This window comes from Homo sapiens, chromosome 2 (assembly GCF_000001405.40).
Source record: "Homo sapiens chromosome 2, GRCh38.p14 Primary Assembly".
In the NCBI taxonomy this organism is placed as follows: Eukaryota; Metazoa; Chordata; class Mammalia; order Primates; family Hominidae; genus Homo; species Homo sapiens.
The window spans coordinates 85,267,872-85,285,473 of NC_000002.12; the positions used below are offsets into that span (position 1 = coordinate 85,267,872).

General features: G+C 48.8%; 1 protein-coding gene across 2 annotated transcripts in view; it reads left to right on the top strand.

Annotated features, from left to right (window-relative positions):
- Positions 1–17,602, top strand: part of TCF7L1 (transcription factor 7 like 1) — a 176,996-nt gene that overhangs the window by 134,480 nt on the left and 24,914 nt on the right. For both annotated transcript variants that reach the window (XM_006712109.3, NM_031283.3), the window contains exon 4: positions 15,624–15,707. In XM_006712109.3, the coding sequence (XP_006712172.1) occupies positions 15,624–15,707 (84 nt within the window). The remainder of the gene's footprint in view (positions 1–15,623; positions 15,708–17,602) is intronic.

Genomic DNA, 17,602 nt, shown 5'->3' on the forward strand with positions numbered 1-17,602 from the left:
GCAGACAGTTTCCTGTCCCTGGCTTTGGCACATACTTATTTGCTTATCTGAAATGATATTAATATCAAACAGAGTATGAATTTCAGAAGTGCTGTATTCCACAGTGGGGCTGAACAGAAGAATCCCAGCATCAAGGCCCCCAGCTACAAAAGATTAGAATGTTTTTGTTTGTTTTTTAATAATGTATTAACTGTAGGGGAAAATATAAAAATAGAAGCAGATATGATATTGGTAAATGTTTTTTATTTGATCACTTTAGGTAAATGGAGTCTTACTCACCTGATAGGGTCCCCAGTGGCAGCGGACTTTCCCATTCCCTCTATCCATCATTCTCCCAAAAGGTGATGGTTTCTCTGTTCTCACCCTAGGTCAGCTAAATTAGGGTCTGTGGCAACAACCCCAGGAGTGTGACCGCTAATTGCCTTTGCAGACAACATTTCCACTAGAGCTGCCTGGGAGGCAGCACCTCCAGAGAGAAGGACTTGCACCTCTAATTTGGTTAATCCTAGAACACCCTGCAATAGTCATCAAGCACCTCTCACAAATGATATGCTGTGCTTAAGGCCGTGGGGACCCAAAGGGCGAATAAGATTGGATGCCTTTTTTTTTTTTTTTTTTTGAGACGGAGTCTCGCTCACGTCACCCAGGCTGGAGTGCAGTGGCACGATTTCGGTTCACTGCAACCTCTGCCTCGTGAGTAGCTGGGATTACAGGCGCCCGCCACCATGCCCGGCTAGTTTTTGTACTTTTCATAGAGACGGGGTTTCACCATGTTGGCCAGGCTGGTGTCGAACTCCTGACCTCAGGTGACCCACCCTCCTCGGTTTCCCAAAGTGCTGGGATTACAGGCGTCAGCCACCGTGCCCAGCCTGGATGCCTTTCTGAAGCGGCAGGTTAAAAAAAAAAAAAAAAAGATTGGATGCCTATCCCCAAAGAGCTTAGGGGAAGCTAAGCGAGGAAATGAGCCTGGCTGTGAGCTGGAAAGTCAGCGGGCAGCAGGGTGTGTGACCGACCTGGAGGAACGAGTGTGGGGCAAGGTGAATGTTAGGGAGCCATTGCAAGACAGTGGTAGTTGAGATTGAAAAAACACAGGACTTGATGGGCTAGATGACAAAGTGAGGAAGAAGGTGGAGGAAAAGATGTCTGAGGTTTTGACCCTGCAGGTACATGAGAAGAGAGAGATGGTAGATCTCGGTGAGAAGCAATTTGGGAAGACAATAGTGGTGTGTCCTGGGATGCTCTGACCTTTGAGTCTGTGTGCAGAACCTCTTTCTCCAATTCCTAGGGGTGCCCTCATCCACAACTGGCAGTAGCCCCTGGATGGCCACAAACATGCAGTCCTACAACCATATTCCCTGGATGTCACTTCCTCACATAATCTTTGCCACATACCACCTATACTATTTACATAATTATTTTTCTTTGAATTGATTCACTTTTTTCCACTTTTTAAAAATGGAGCTTCACTGTAAGCAACAGTATCCAAGATATCAAACTTTGCCTGTAACATGCATGTGTAATTGTGTATACGTATATACATGTGTATACACATACATAAAAAATACACATACATATGTATTTATAATTTTGTTTGTTTGGCTATATATACATTTTTGTTTTGTTGTGTTTTGTAGAGACAGGGTTTCACCATGTTGCCCAGGCTACTGTTGAACTCCTGGGCTCAGGTGAGCCTCCCAAAGTGCTGGGCTTACAGGCGTGAGCCACCACACCCAGCCAAAAATACTGGCTTAAATACTTAAATATTTTAAATACTTAAATATTTTAAGGCCGATTAATGTAAATATTTTAGGTACTAAAAAATAGGAGGTGTTGTTTAATAGTATTGAGATGGGAACTTCTCAGCCCTTCCACTGTCCGTCATAACTTCCTGCACCCTCCCTTCAATATGGACATAAAATCGTGTTGTTCCCTGAGATATGTAAGCCACATGTGCACCCACATTTGCATACACACTAGTGTAGGGTGCAGGACCCCTTCTTCAGGCTCCTTTATCAGGAGCAATGGCCCTGTATAGAGGTGGCTGGTGTGACCCTTATTCTCCTGTGTTCTTGTTCACCTGTGGGGTCGGAGAGCTCTCCTGGAACTGCCCGTCTATGGAGAGGCCTCCTCAGACATTTCCCATCTCCCGGTGCCCAGGAGTTGTTGACTTTGGCCAGCTGCTGGGCCTGCAGGAGCCGCGGGGAAGGGTTCTAAGAGACCCTTGAAGCTCTGTGGCTGGAAGGCAGCTCCAGGCTGCCTGGCTGTTCTTTTGTGTTGAGTATTTCACTGGCCCCAGATAAGCGCTTCCTGTTCCTCACTGATTATACACAGATCCTGCTTCCTTTCTCCTCAATACCTGGGATGCTTTCCAGCTTCTCCTCCCATAGGGGAAAGTCCGTAAACTTTAGAATTCTCAGGCCTGCTTTTGGTCAATGGACTTTCTGCAAATTATGACTGTTTTTGCCATCTAGTCACATTCTTGGTGAAGCCTTCACCTCTGTCTAGGAGCTGAGTTCCGCTTTGTGCCAGCCAGGAGAGATGCTTCTATGACCTGGTTTCTGCCCCTCCTTCTCACCAGACAGAACATCTGTATCTACCTCCTGGCGTAAATCAGAGAGAATAAATAGATTGCACCTTACAGGTCAGTTTTAATCAACTGTTAGTAGCTGCCTCAGTGTTGAGGATTCTGAGGTCTTACCCACCTTTAGCAAGAAAGAGTGCCATGGTCTACTAGCAGTGTCTGCCACAAGCACGGAGGGATGGGACTGCTCCTGTGCCCCATATTTGCTATCCCAAGATTCCGAGATCAGTTGGAAGTTTCTTTATTTTTTATTTAGAGACAGAGTCTCACTCTGTCACCCAGGCTGGAGTGCAGTGGCGCAATCACAGCTCACTGCAGCCTCGAGCTCGAGGGCTGAGTCGATCCTCCCAGCTCAGCCTCTCGGGTAGCTGGGACTACAAGCGTGCGCCACCACACCTGGCTAATTTTTTTTGTATTTTTGTAGAGACGGGGTCTCATCTAACTTTGTTTCCCAGGCTGGTCTTGAACTCCTGGGCTCAAGTGATCCACCTGCCTCAGCCTCCCAAAATGCTGCGATTACAAGTGTGAGTCCCATTCCCAACCACAAGTTTCTAGAAGGCAGAAATCATGTCCTTGTACCCTTAGAGTTACAACATAAACGCCCAAAGTCCTATATTCTAGTGCCAGTGTCGAGGAAATCCAACAGCCTCCAGCAGGCTCAATTTCCTTTGTTTTTTTGATTCAGAGTCTCCCTCTGTCACCCAGGCTGGAGTTCAATGGTGCGATCTCAGCTCACTGCAACTTCTGCCTCCCAGATTCAAGCAGTTCTCCTGCCTCAGCCTCCCAAGTAGCTAGGATTACAGGCACCCGCCACCACACCCGGCTAATTTTTGTGTTTTTAGTAGAGACGTGGTTTTGCCATATTGGCCATGCTGGTCTTGAGCTCCTGACCTCGTGATCCTCCTGCCTCGGCCTCCGAAAGTGCTGGGATTACAGGCATAAGCTACCGCGCCCGGCCCAGTTTCCCATTTTTTAAATGAACATAATAATATCTGCTTTACCTATATCCAGGAGTCAGTAATATCAAATCAGATAATTCATATGGAATGCTTTAAAAAGTAAAACAACTGTAGAAGTATATCCTGCCTGCAGGACCCAGCACAGATGCCACCTCCTCTATGAAGTTTTCAGTTGTAACACGATAATTCTTGCCCATTGCCATCCCTGTCTTATCTGAACCTGTCATTTATAGGCTTATAGTCTAGTTATTTATGTACTTTAAAAATCTCTCCTGTGGTATATCATGCATATAAACAGCCACCTTTTATATGAGATACTCACTAAACTTTGATGGAGGGCTCTGTACAGAGCTGTCACTGCATCTTGATCATCTGGTAGGCAGTCCTGTAAGAATGAGTAGCCTCCTGCTAGCTTTAAACAGCACAGTTTTATGTTTTAGAAAGATATTTCTAGAGGTAAGTGAAGGGTAGACTGGAAGAGATGAACTGAGAACAGGAGCACTGATGACTCAATGGAGAGAGGATTTGGGATCCCTTCATTTCTGTCAACTACCCTATTCTTGGACAACAGACATTTTGTCAATGTGAGGCAAAGCAACCTGCCGATGTGGTTTGCAGCCCACTACCACCCCTTTCAAACCGGGTTGCCCCCCACCCCCGCTGCCTTCCTCCTGGGTGAGAACCTGCAGGAGCTCAAGCAAACCCAGAAGGCTGCTGCAGGGGCTCCTCCTCGGAATAGGGTTCAAAAAATGTCCAGAAGCCATATAATTGGGTGGCCCAGAGCAGGTTAGGGAGGTAACTAAAGTCATTAAAGTGGATTTTGAGGTTTCTGGTTAGGTACACTGAAGGCACAGGATTGAAAATAATTCATCTGGGGTTACTTTTAATAGCTTTGCTTACTGTTGCTATGATATAAGACATACTGATTGTAAAAATTTCAAGTGAAGAAGAAAAATATGAAAAAGGAACTAATAAAATTGCCTGAAATGTTAAAAATCCAGCGATAACATTTGGGTGACTATGCTTCCAGATTATTTAATTGGCTTTTCTCACTGAACAGTTTGTCCAGCACACTTTATTCAGGTCAATAAATGTGGATGACCGGGCGTGGTAGCTCAAAGCTATAATCCCAAGCACTTTGGGAGGCTAAGGCGAAAGGATCACTTAAGGCCAAGAGTTTCAGACCAGCCTGGGCAACATAGTGAGACCCTGTCTCTACCAAAAAAAAAAAAAATTAGCCGGGTGGTGTGGTGCTTGCCTGTAGTCCCAGCTATGCAGGAGGCTGATGTGGGAGGATTGCTTGATTCCATGAAGTCAAGGCTGCAGTGAGCTACAGTCGTGCCACTGCACTCCAGCCTGGCTGACAGGGCAAGACCCTATCAATCAATCCATTAACCAGTATATCAATCAATCAATCAATAAAAAAATCACCCAAAAGGCATGCAGAACCTGCAGCCACAGGGCAGGAGCGGGGAGAGGCTTCCCCAGAGCTGCCCATGTCATGTGGCAGTTCAAAAGCCAGTTGCCTTTATTTTCTTCCTAAAGTCATCCATGGCCTTGCAAAGACAGGAGAGTGTCTACAGAGACAGTGGAGGGAGTGGAACAGAAGCCAGCCTTCTGGGGGCTGAGAAGTACCTGGGAGGCGGGGAGGGCATGTAAGCAGCCTGTGTACATGCGGGGAAGGGAAAGGGGGAGAACCAGAAGGGGCAGCTGCCCACCAGCAGCTTCCTGGGCTCTCCTCCCACCTCCTCCTCACTCACAACAGCGCACAGACTCAGCCTCAGCTCCTTCTCTCTGGCCTCTTCCACCTGAGTGAAGATCAAGTGCAGGAGAGGTTGCACAGGCTGTGCCAGCTGCAAGGAACCCACAGACCCCTCCTGTGTTTCACCTGCAGTGACTCCATATTCGTCCTCCCCCATCCCCGCCATCCAGCAGATTATGTGCCCCACTTCCTCTGTGCCACACACATCTTTTTTCCCTCCTTCAAATCATCACCCATACAGAGGACAATTCGCAGCCTCACTCATTATAAGAGTAATGGAAACTCCAGTGAGGGACTTTTTTACCTGTCAGTTTGGCAAAGTTTAAACAGTTTGATAACCTTGTATGGGCAAGGGTGTGGGGAAATAAGCCCTCTCCCAGGTTGCTGTTAGCAGTGTCAACTGGGAGAAATTTAATAACACTCCTCAGAACTTAAGTGTGCATATCTTTGACCTAGTGATTCCCCTCACAGCTGGAAATGTGTCCTCCCACTATAGACATACATGGGCGACACGGTGAGTGTTCAAGGGTGTTCACTGCAGCAGAAGCCTGGGAAACACCTCCATGTCTGTGAGCATGGGCCCCTTGAGTCGGTTATGGCACCTCCTGTAACCCAGGAGGAGGCAGCTCTGTGGGGATGGCTATGGGACCAGCCCTACTATGCCGGCGAATGGAGTGGGGGCAGAGTGGCGTGGGTGGGTATGGGCAGGCCAGAGAACAGGCTGCAGGCTGTGAAGGAGAAAGGCATTTGCTCTTTCAGCCCAGTCTGAGCTCCTGGTCAGAGGCCAGCAGGTGGACTCTGCATCCTGTGGGGGCCAGGGCAGATGTTCTCACCTGAGGGCCTGAGGGGAGGGAAGCGTGTCAGTAGATTCCCAGGCACACAGCGACAGGGGAGAGACAGAGGGAGGGGCCCAGCAGGGTTCACCTCAGGGAAAGGAGGACTGGGCCTCCAAAGCCAGTTTCCACGAAGACACTTCCTGCAGCACATTGGTGGCTGGGCAGTGAGCATAGACACTGCACAGACACTGCCCAGGCCCAGCAAACCCAAGGTCACAGCCGATGGGAGAGGCAGCTTGCGACTCAGCAGGCCCAGCGCTCCAGGCTGCAGAAATGCGGACTCGAAAGCAAGTTGAACTTTGACATTGTTTGAAAGCCTAGGGCTCTGTCCCGGGGTCCCCCTGGTCAGGGCCACCACAGAATGGCTGTGCCTAGTGCTCTGGGAGCAGAGTTTTCCCTCCTCCAGAGCATGCAGCTGTCGGGGGACATACCTAGCCAAGTGTCCGGCTCTCCATCAAGACCTCAAGCAGGCCCACGTCAGCTGAGAACCATGTGTGTCTCAGCTTTCCAGCCATCCCAGCAAGTCAGGACACATCTGAGACCACCCCTCCAACCCAGCTCTTGCCCACGGTCATTGGTGTGCCTGAGCCAGCTGGCACCCAGCCAATTGGTAGCATCTCTTCCGCGCTGAGCCTTCAGTGACTCATCGTGGTACCTTGAAATCAGCGGGAGTGTTTACACCATGAATACCAGCAAATGCTTTGGTTTTTCACTTTGTTTTTTGCTTAGAGAGCCAGTTGTTAGGCATTTACCAACACACCACCGAACCAGACCTGTCTCCCCAGGTAAAGCGCAGGTCACAGGCTCCTAGAATACCAATAACTTACACATTTAGTGACTGAACACAGATTTCTTACAAGCTCCCCGCATGCCCCACACTCTGCCTGGTCCTCTCCAGTGTGAGAGGACACTCACACTTGAGTGTGACAGCCACACGTGAGATAATCACTCTGCCAGGCAGTAGGTGTTCTTATTCCTATTTTACATGTGGAAACCAGAGGTTCTGAAAGGTGATGTACACAGGCACACAGCTTGTAAGTGGGGTTCAGCTAGGACCCCTGATTCCGTATTTGTTGAACACCTCAACACGGTCGGCACTCCCAGTGCCCTCTGTGTTTAGACAAACAGCTGAATTTGATTTTTCCTTCCAAAGGAGACCATCTAGTCCAGGCCCCTGCTTCAGGCTGATGAAGTAAAATATTCCCATTTTAAAGATGAGACGATGGAGTCCAGAAAGGTTAGAAAGAGCCTGGAACCCTGATCTCTTGCCTCCTGTGCTCTAAAACGAAAGCTTGGCTTCTGCGGGGGAGCCAGTTTTTAAAAACAAACCTTAGGTCAAATCTAGGAGGCAAAATTGCCAGGTTCTTTGGAATGCGAGGGGAAGAGAATAGTTTTGAGATCATCCACAAAAGAAAGAATCATTTGGGGAAAGCAGAGGAAAGAGGTGTTTATGGTGAAACTGACACCTAATTGACACACTCTTACTTTTGAGTTTACTATTCAGTTATGAAATGCTTTTGGAGCCCCTCTGCTACCAGTGCATGGGCTTTAAAGCCATTTGTTGACTAAATGCTGTGACAGGTGCTAGAGAGAGCAAAGTCACTTCATTGGTTTAAGACCAGTGTAGGCCAGGTGCGGTGGCTCACCCCTGTAATGCCAGCAGAATTGGGAGGTGAAGGCGGGCAGATCACTTGAGCTCAGGAGTTCGAGACCAGCCAGGGCAACATGGTGAAATCCTGTCTCTACCAAAACTACAATAAATTAGCCAGGCATGGTGGCACATGCCTGTGGTCCCAGCTACTTGAGAGGCTGAGATGGGAGGATTGCCTGAGCCCAGGAGGTGGAGGTTGCAGTGATCTATGATTGCGCCACTGCACTCCAGCCTGGACGACAGAGTGAGACTCCATCTCAAAAAAAAAAAAAAAAAATACCTCAAGAAAGAATCTAACCTACCCTCAGGTAAAACAAAAAATGTGTTTGGGATTTAGTGCCATCCACAAAGTTAAGCAAAGGCATAAATGACTCATTCTTAAGAAAGAAGGGATAAGAGTGTAAAACTTCTTTTATACTTTTGCCCCTGGAACTCTTTGTCTAATCCATCTTGTTTGGGAACAAGTTCTTTACACTTTCGTTTTCTCTTACCGACTGCTGAAAACTAAAAATGTTTTCCCAATTGGGAAAGCTTTTCTGTCTCCCTATTCCTGAGTTCATTGCTCAGTGTCAGTGTATTTTCAAACTTAGATCCATTTGTGAACTTTAGTACAGAAGATAGAAACAGGTCTCCAAGAACTGGCCAAGTTGGGCATCCCAGCCTCCATGCTACATTTACGTATTCTCGGCAGACTAAGCCAGTTACTGTGAGAAGCAGGCGTTGCCCATGAGTGAAATGGGCTCCTGTGTGGCGGCTTCCCACCACAGTGACAATGACATTATTCAAAATGCTCTCCTTGTCCTCTTAGAAGCTCTATGTAACAGGAACCTATACTATAACCGTATTATAAATGAAAAATGTGAAGAAGCGATCCGTGTCTCCCCGTCTCCATTCTGCCACAGTTGCAGTCGTTTCTTTCCTGGACTACGGCAAATCCTACCAGAGTCAGCCTTCTAAACACCAGTCACATCTCTCCCCTGCTCTAAAGGCTTCAGGCAGAGGCTGTTCAACCCCTCGTTACAGATGTGGAAACTGGGCCTAAGCTCACGGCATTAATACAGCATGGGACAGGGTTTCAACACATCATGATTGCCGGGTTCTGGGTGAGGAATTGAGGTGCAGCATGACCCTTGAGGAGCTTACCGTCCCAAGGGCAGACAGAGTGTGCAAATGGGGAGGAGTAGCCTGGTGAGTGCTATGGAAACACCGTGTACCGCTTCTCGAGAGCGACAGACTCATGGAGGCTTCATGCCAGGGAGGGTGACCTTGGGAGGAAATGGGTTTTGAAGAAGAGGGGTTAAAGTTTCCCACGAGTGAAGGATGCAGTAAAGGCCGTAGCAGGCCGGGGAGCAGCAGGGCAGCATGGTGCGTTCAGAGTGCAGTGAGGACTCTGTGCAGCTGGGGTGGGGGGCGGTGAGGGTGGAAGCCAGAAGGATAGGGTGGTGTGGGATTGCTGGTGAGTTTGGGGGCTTTATCTCTTGACCCCAGAAACCAACCAGGGAAGTGTTCTGAGCAGGGGAGAGATGTGACTGGTGTTTAGAAGGCTGACTCTGGTAGGATTTGCAGTAGTCCAGGCAAGAAACGACTGCAACTGTGGCAGAATGGAGACGGGGAGACACGGATCGCTTCTTCACATTTTTCATTTATAGTACGGTTATAGTATAGGTTCCTGTTACATAGAGTTTCTAAGAGGACAAGGAGAGCATTTTGAATAATGTTATTGTCACTGTGGTGGGAAGCCACCTGCACCCGGAGTTTGGGTGTAGCCTTGGGTTCTGGGTGGCACTGGGACTTTACATCTCCCGAAAAGCCTGGGCAACCCTTGCTTCTCTATCAAAGGGGATCCTGGCTCTAGGTCCCCAAAGTCACTGTTTACCATAGGGGTCCAGAGAGGCAGGAAGGACCGGTCACCAAAACTGGGACCCTTTGTGTCTGCTGATGGGCAAGTGGCCAAAAATGGGCGAGACCATGGGGCTGGAGCAAGGGGCGCTTTCTCTGCCTACTGGGCCTTTCCTCTAGAAGCAGCGGAAGGCGTTCTCTGGGCTGGAGTTTTCTCACCTGTGCAGTTTTTGGAGCTGACTTGTTTTCCTTGCATGCAACTGTGGGGAGCTGTGGATTCTGTAACATGAAGCTTTGTTTCCTCTGTTGCCCAGGCCCTGCTTAAAGGCTTTTCTGTGAGAACGTGCGAACAGGGAGAATGTGGGCATTCCCCCGAGCCCTGTAGAGTCCTGTCCACACTAAGCAAGTGTGGGACAGGGTGAGGACGGCTGGGGCGGGGCCCTCCCTACCTTCTGGGAGCCGGAGGGTTAATCTCCGTAGCTCATTGGCAGTCCTGCCTCTGTACAGGGCATGCTGGGATTTCCTCCCAGCTGTTTTACATCACGAAGATTTGTGTGTTGGGGAAATTCCAGGGCACAGCTGCAATTAATCTGCTCCATGGCTCCAATCAAAGCAAGGATTCTGTAGGATGGATTCTCCGCCTTCCTGCAGGAAAGGGGGCTCTAGCTCTCTAGTGACAGCATCCTTCAGAGGGACCCTTCCCGAGATCCACGTTGAGCAGAAACAGCCCGCCTGGCCAAGTGCTCGCCCCAAGGAGGGCTCTAAGGAGGGGCCCAAAACATTGAGAAAGAGAGGAGCAGAGCCCCTCTGAATAATAAAGCCACAAGGACACTGATGGCAACACTCGATAAAGATGTCACCCAAAGAAAAGAAAACTTTGTTCACCTTTACTTAGGAATGTAAAAGTCAAAAATTTAAAACATGACTAGCATTCCACAATACAGCGTAAGAAGGAACAAACCACCATGACCAAATAGGGCTTACCTGGGAAATGCAAAAATGCCTTCATGTAAGAAAATCTATTGCTATATATACATCTCATAAATGAGTCAAATAAGAGAAACCACATGACCATTTTGGTAAATGCCGAGAGAAAAATGCAACAACTGCTCCAATGAAAACAATGTAAAAATAGGATTAGAATCATCCTTCCTTAATGAGGTAAAGACATGTTTTAAACCACAGCCTCAGTCTACTTAACTGTGAACCACAGTAGCAGAACCCCAGTCCCCAGAAAAGTGTTTCTCAGATTCAGTGAGATTGGAAAACTGTGTATCTGTCCTGTCTTAGATAGTCACAACATATGTAAATCGAAGACAGTAGTACCTGCCGTTTGGGTTTGGTGTTTTCCTTTCTATTTTTGAGCATCCAAAAGCGGGTATTTAACCCATAGAAAGCACCCCAGAAGTGGGAGCGATCGCTATTGCCAGGCCATCAGTTGCATTGATGCCATTCATCACCATTTCAATGTGTTACATTCCGGTGGGCATCCCCCAGGAGGGAGGTGGCTGGACCAGCCCGTGTACACATCTTCGCTGTGGGCTGAAGCCCAGCCACGACACACTGGTCAGGAGCTGGGCCTTGCAGAGCCAGTTAAATGTAGCCTAGACTGGGCATGGAGAAACCAGCAGTTTTAACCTGCCCACATACCATTACCATGCAAAGAATCTAAGCACAGTCAGCCATCACTTACTTCCCCAAGGACATGCTCCCACCCATGAGTGATTGCCCTCAGGGTGATCGTGGGGTTGGCCTTACAGCTAAGAAGAGCTTTATTGGCTGGGCATGGTGGCTCACACCTGTAATCCCAGCACTTTGCGAGAGCAAGGCGGGAGGATTGCTTGAGCCCAGGCGTTGAAGACGAGCCTGGGCAACGTAGCAAGACCCCCATCTCTAAAAATAAAAAATAAAAATAAATAAATAAACAGAAGCACTTTATTTCCACTCTAGTTGGGCTAGGCCTGATGCTAGGAATTCAGAACTACCTGGCCATCTTCAAATGTCTAGTACTGCAGTGGAAGAGGATTACAAGGGTTGTCACTGGCTCCTGCTGCCCCAATTCACGGTTCTGGGAAGTTCAACTGTCCTTTCCTCAGAGTTGTGATGCAGAGGCCGTCCATGGCCAAGCTGTAGGGGCTCCAAAGTCTTAGAGCTCTTCCTCCTCCCCCCGTCACTCATCTCCAAAACTTAAAAAGACAAATAGAAAAGGGAAAGTCACGATCCTCCACACTCCTGCCTCCCAGAGTGAGTCCCTCCCTACACACCGCCCCTGCACCACCCCAGGCATGGCTGGAGCAGGGTCAGTCCCGGTGAGATGCTCACTGTTCCCAGGACCACCTCTCCCTTCTGGTCTTTTCCCTCACACTGCCTGACTTGTCTGTAAGGGGCCAGGTATCAGTGGTAGGCACGACCAGTGTGGTCTCCTCCCAGCAGAAGCCAAGACTTCTTGTTACATAGATAAAACAAGTACATGGTCAGACACCCAAAAGAGTGGCTGTTACTGAAAACCCTTACTATGAATGTGTGTACAAAATACAAGCATACATAAATGTACCTGTACCTTGATATCCCCAGCACCAAGGCAGACAAACCCTCATGGAGCTTGCAGTCTATTGGGTGCCAGCTCCTTGGCCACTAGAGCAGTGATTCTCAGTTGCGGGAGGGAAGATTCTCTCCCTCAGCCCCAGGAGACATTTGGCAAAATCTGGAGATATTTCTGATGATCTATATGGGAGTGCATCGGCATTTAGTATTATAGTTAGAGGCCAAAGATGTTGTTAAACTTTCCAGGACAGCCCACCACCCCCAATAAAAAAAGTATCCAGCCCAAAATGTCATAGTGCTGAGCCTGAGAAACCCTGCACTACAGTCCTACAAGCCGACTCTGCCAGACAATCTATAAGGTCACTTGAGAGGATTATTTAAGACCCAAAACTCTAGCACCATCCCAGACTAGGGTTTACATTTCTTTGGACCACCCCCATATGATCTAAGGACATCCCTGGTAAGCCAACAAGAATGAATGTGTGTCTTTGTGGCCCTAAATAGGGGGCAGATGCTGGTAGAGTTGATGGATTTTTAGGTACCCATCTATCCTGTTTAATATTAGGGGGTATAGATTTGGGATACTTCTCTTTAGCACCTGGTAGTTGTTATTGTAGTTTAATTTTTAAAACCAGAAATGTTCAAGTTGTTGCTTCTAGAAAAACGAGTGTGGTGTTTAGGCTTCAAGTGCAAGCTCTGGGCACCTTCAGCATCCCTCCAGGAGAACACTGACATGCATGGACCCATTCTGTTTCTGGGTGGCCAGCCCCGTGCAAGACAGAGAAGGAGAGAGAAAACACATCCGAGCAAAGAGAAGGCTGCGGGTGGAGAGTTGAGGAAGACAGTCTTAGGAAAAGCTTCGTGACTTGGTCTTGTGCAAGGTGTGGGATTTGAAGTCCAGAGACCTAGGCTCCAGCTCCAGCTGTCTTGTATGAAGTTGGGGAAGCGTTTAGCCTTTGTTTATGTCCATTAGCTCCTTTTTTTTTTTTTTTTTTTTTGAGACAAGGTCTCACTCTGTCACCCAGGCTGGAGTGCAGTGGTGTGATCTCGGTTCACTGCAACCTCCGCCTCCTGGGTTCAAGTGATTCTTCTGCCTCAGCCTCCCAAGAAGGTGGGACTACAGGCACACGCCACCATGCCCAGCTAATTTTTGTATTTTTAGTAAGAGACGGGGTTTCACCATGTTGGCCAGGCTGGTCTTGAACTCTTGACCTCGAATGATTTGCCCACCTTGGCCTCCCAAAGTGCTGGGATTACAGGCATAGCCACTGCGCCCGGCCTAGCTCCTTTTAAAATTTGGGATAGTCACCCCTACTTGTCATTGCAGGGTTGATGTGCAGATTACACTGGGTTTTGTGTGTGAAAATGCTTTGACAAGTGCAAATGTAGCACAAATGTTATTCACAGTGAAAATGAGTTTTAACTATTGATACCAATATTTGCCCAGTGCTTTTAACTTGCCACAGGCATTGAAATCCCAGTTAATTCATGTCGGGTGTGTGGGCTCTGGGTAGGGCAAGGGATGGGTGGTGGTGGGAAGGGAGGAAGAAGATAGGGTCAGCAGAGGACAGGGACAGAGGTGACACCCCATTTGAGGGCTGAGGGGTGGGGGTACAGAGGTCGCAAAGTGAAAAGACTGTCCTAATTCATAGGGCTTCGTTCCCACTTCCCACCAGGTCTCCCGCGCCAGGCCTGCTTGGCCCATCCCATGTGCTAGTCTGGCCTGTGGCACGTGTGACCTTAAGTTGTTGTTCCTGCCCATGGACACCTTTTTGAAAGCCCAGTCAGTCCCTGCCATCTTGGTCAAGACTTATGGTGAATGAAGAGCAAAGGGGCCTTCTGGGGCTCTTCCCATCGCCCTCCTGCTCCTGTACACAGCAGAGCCAGATTGTGATTGATTTTTCCTGATATTACATGACCAGAGTGAGGGATGATTCAAAGGCTTCTTTTTTTTTCTTTTTTGAGATAAAGTCTCACTCTGTCGTCCAGGCTGTAGTGCCATGGCACGATCTTGGCTCACTGCAACCTCCACCTCCCAGACTCAAGCGATTCTCCTGCCTCAGCCTCCCGAGTAGCTGGGACTATAGTCCTGCGCCACCACACCCAGCTATTTTTTGTTTTTTTAGTAGAGACGAAGTTTCACCATGTTGGCCAGGCTGGTCTTGAACTCCTGACCTCAAGTGATCCATCCACCTTGGCCTCCCAAAGTGCTGGGATTACAGGCATGAGCCACTGCACCCAGCCAAAGACTTCTTTCTGTGAAACTTCCTGGGGCCACCACTTTCCGTTACAGCTTTCATTCTCAAAGGAGTCTCAAGAATTCTGCAAAGAGGCTGCTTGCGGGTCTGTTGCCCAGAAGCAACCTGTCAGCGTTGACACTAAGACAACATGTGTGCTTTTGCTCCTGGCAAAGACTAATGGTTTGCTTATGGAAATAATAGGCGTCATTTATCAAATGTCTCCCATGTGCGAGGCACTGTGTTCAATATGTGACACCGTCCCTAGTCCGAACAACCTGTACCGTGAGTGATAATAACCTTGCCTTACAGATGCTGAAACTGGGACTCAGAGTTGTTAATCACTCATTCAGGGTCACACAGCCTATGTTGGCAGAGTAAGAGCCTGAACCCATGAATGCAGGGCTCCGGAGCCCAGAAGGGCCCTTCCCAGTGCTCCTGACTGCTGCTCCACTCAACTCATTCTTTCTAGGCTCTTGGCAAGGACTGTGCCATGCCAGAGAGAGAGAGAGATTGTGTGTGTGTGTGTGTGTGTGTGTGTGTGTGTGTGTGTGTGTGTGTGTTGGGGAAGTACTGTTTGGTTTGGGTTTTTTGCACTGACATGAGAAAGAATGGGGTGCTGGGTAATCTTTTTCAGGGTTGAGAGACGCTATAATGAAGGAAAGCTCAGCATCCTTGAGTTGGGGTAGATGTTGCCCATGACTCTGTGTCAGGCAGATGGCTTTTATTCATTCATTCCCAGATACTTCTGGATGGCTGTTTCGTAGGGAGCATTGTGTGTGGATGTCGTAAGTGATGGAAATGGATGGGGCAGGATGGCCATCTGGGAGCCTCTGCCTCCTTGGTCAGCCCTGCGTGTCCATGACTACAGCATAGGGAGGGGACTTGAGCCTCACTAGTAGGTTCTTTGAATATGTTGATTGGTTGTGCTGGAATGGATCGGTTCTCTCCACCACTTAAAGTTCAGCTTAGTTGTCATTCGTGTCCCCCCCCCCAAAATGACATAGGGCGTGGTGAGGCTGGTAGTGATTGTAAATATATGCTCGCTCCTGTTATAATCGTTTGGAAATTGACCCAGTACAGGGCATGTGGCATGAAAATGCAGGCCACCCCAATGGCCTGCCCCGGTGCCCTAACAGCAGAGCCCAGCAAACTTTGAGTACTTGTGAGGCCTCATCTCACCAACAGCTTTTTCTTTTCTGTTCCCTGTGCAGTACCTGCAGATGAAATGGCCCCTCCTCGATGTCCCCTCCAGCGCCACAGTCAAGGACACGAGGTCACCATCTCCAGCACACTTGGTAAGTCTGTTTCACCTTAAAGCACCAAAGGGCCACTATTAGTGGCCTCATCCCATGCCACTGCCTTCTGCCATCACGCTGAAGCAGATGGGGTCCAACAGTGTTTCCTCAAATGTGTGAGTACAGTGAGGAAGAGCTGAGTGCTTGGGGCTAACAATTGGGTTGTGACCTCAACACACACACCACACCGCCTCAGATGTTTTGTAATTGGAATAGCCGTCCCCCAACCCCCATGGCCCTGGCTGCTCACCCTGGTTCATCACAGAAGCCTGCCTGCGATCCTTCCCGGCTGCCATCTGAACCCGCTGCCCACTTCACGTGGGCAAGGGTGGCTTCTCTGTCCTGTTGAGGCTTACCCAGAATTGCCTCCTCTTCTCCCTCATAGCTGCCAGGCAATAGTTGAAGAGGCTCTTCTGTTTTTGTTTTTGTTTTTGTTTTTGTTTGTTTTTTGAGACGGAGTCTCGCTCTTTTGCCCAGGCTGGAGTGCAGTGGCACAATCTTGGCTCACTGCAACCTCTGCCTCCCAGGTTCAAGCGATTCTCCTGCCTCAGCCTCCCAAGTAGCTGGGACTACAGGCATGTGCCACCACGCCTGGCTAATTTTTGGTATTTTTAGTAGAGACGGTGTTTCACTGTGTTAGCCAGGATGGTCTCGATCTCCTGACCTCGTGATCCGCCAGCCTTGGCCTCCCAAAGTGCTGAGATTACAGGCATGAGCCACCGCGCCCGGCCGAAGAGGCTCTTCTGTACAGGATGTTATAGGAAAGAATTCAATAGGACGTATGCAAACAAATGCTCCTCAGGGCAGCCGAGCCTCTTCTGCCAGGCCCTGTGGCAATACCAGCTGGAAAGGAGGGTCTGGACAATCCTGGGAGACAGGAGCAGTGGATCCAAGCAGTACCTCTGGCCTCCTCAGGACATGCAAAGGACTGAAACCCAAAGCTGATAAGAGATGCTCCTGGAACAGAACCAGATATCCTACTTTCCTGGGCTTTTCCTGGGTGCTTGGGTCAACACTTGCCTTAAGATGCACTCACCCCACAAGCTAACTGGTGCTCGCCGACTGTACAGTGAGCCTCAGAATCAGGGAATGCGGTTAGAAGGGACCCTCATCCTGCATGACCTATGCATTTTACAGACGAGCAGACATAGGACTTCACTGTTACTGCCCTGTACTAGGTATTAGGCGTTGGGCTTCTATGATGTTTATTAAAGTTTAATTACAGAAAATTTTAAAGATGTATCAAAGTAGAGAGAATTACATAATGAATCCCCATGTTCCCTTCACCCAGAATTTCCCTCCTGCTACATAGGGGATTTAAAGTGAATCCCAGACATTACTTCATCTCATAGGACATTTTAAGAGATACTGATAGCTGGGCGCAGTGGCTCACGCCTGTAATCCCAGCACTTTGGGAGGCCGAGGTGGGCGGATCACGAGGTCAGGAGATCGATACCATCCTGGCTAACACGGTGAAACACCGTCTCTACTAAAAATACAAAAAATTAGCCAGGCGTGGTGGCGGGCGCCTGTAGTCCCAGCTACTAGGGAGGCTGAGGCAGGAGAATGGTGTGAACCCCGGAGGCGGAGCTGATAGTGAGCCGAGATCGCGCCACTGCACTCCAGCCTGGGTGACAGAGCGAGACTCTGTCTCAAAAAAAAAAAACTGATAATTCTTATTCATTAAAAGCTTAGAGTCTAGCAGAAGAGAAAGAAGATATGTGCAGAAAGCTAAATAAATAAGGGTGCAGGGAGCCTGTATGATTTCCAGTAATCAGGAGACCTGCTCCTGTGGAGCCCTTGGGAGTTTACAGTGGGATCTACAGTGGGATGCCACATGCAGCTCTCAGGTGATTGTCACAGCCATCACCAGGGAGTCAGGCAAGGATGACAGT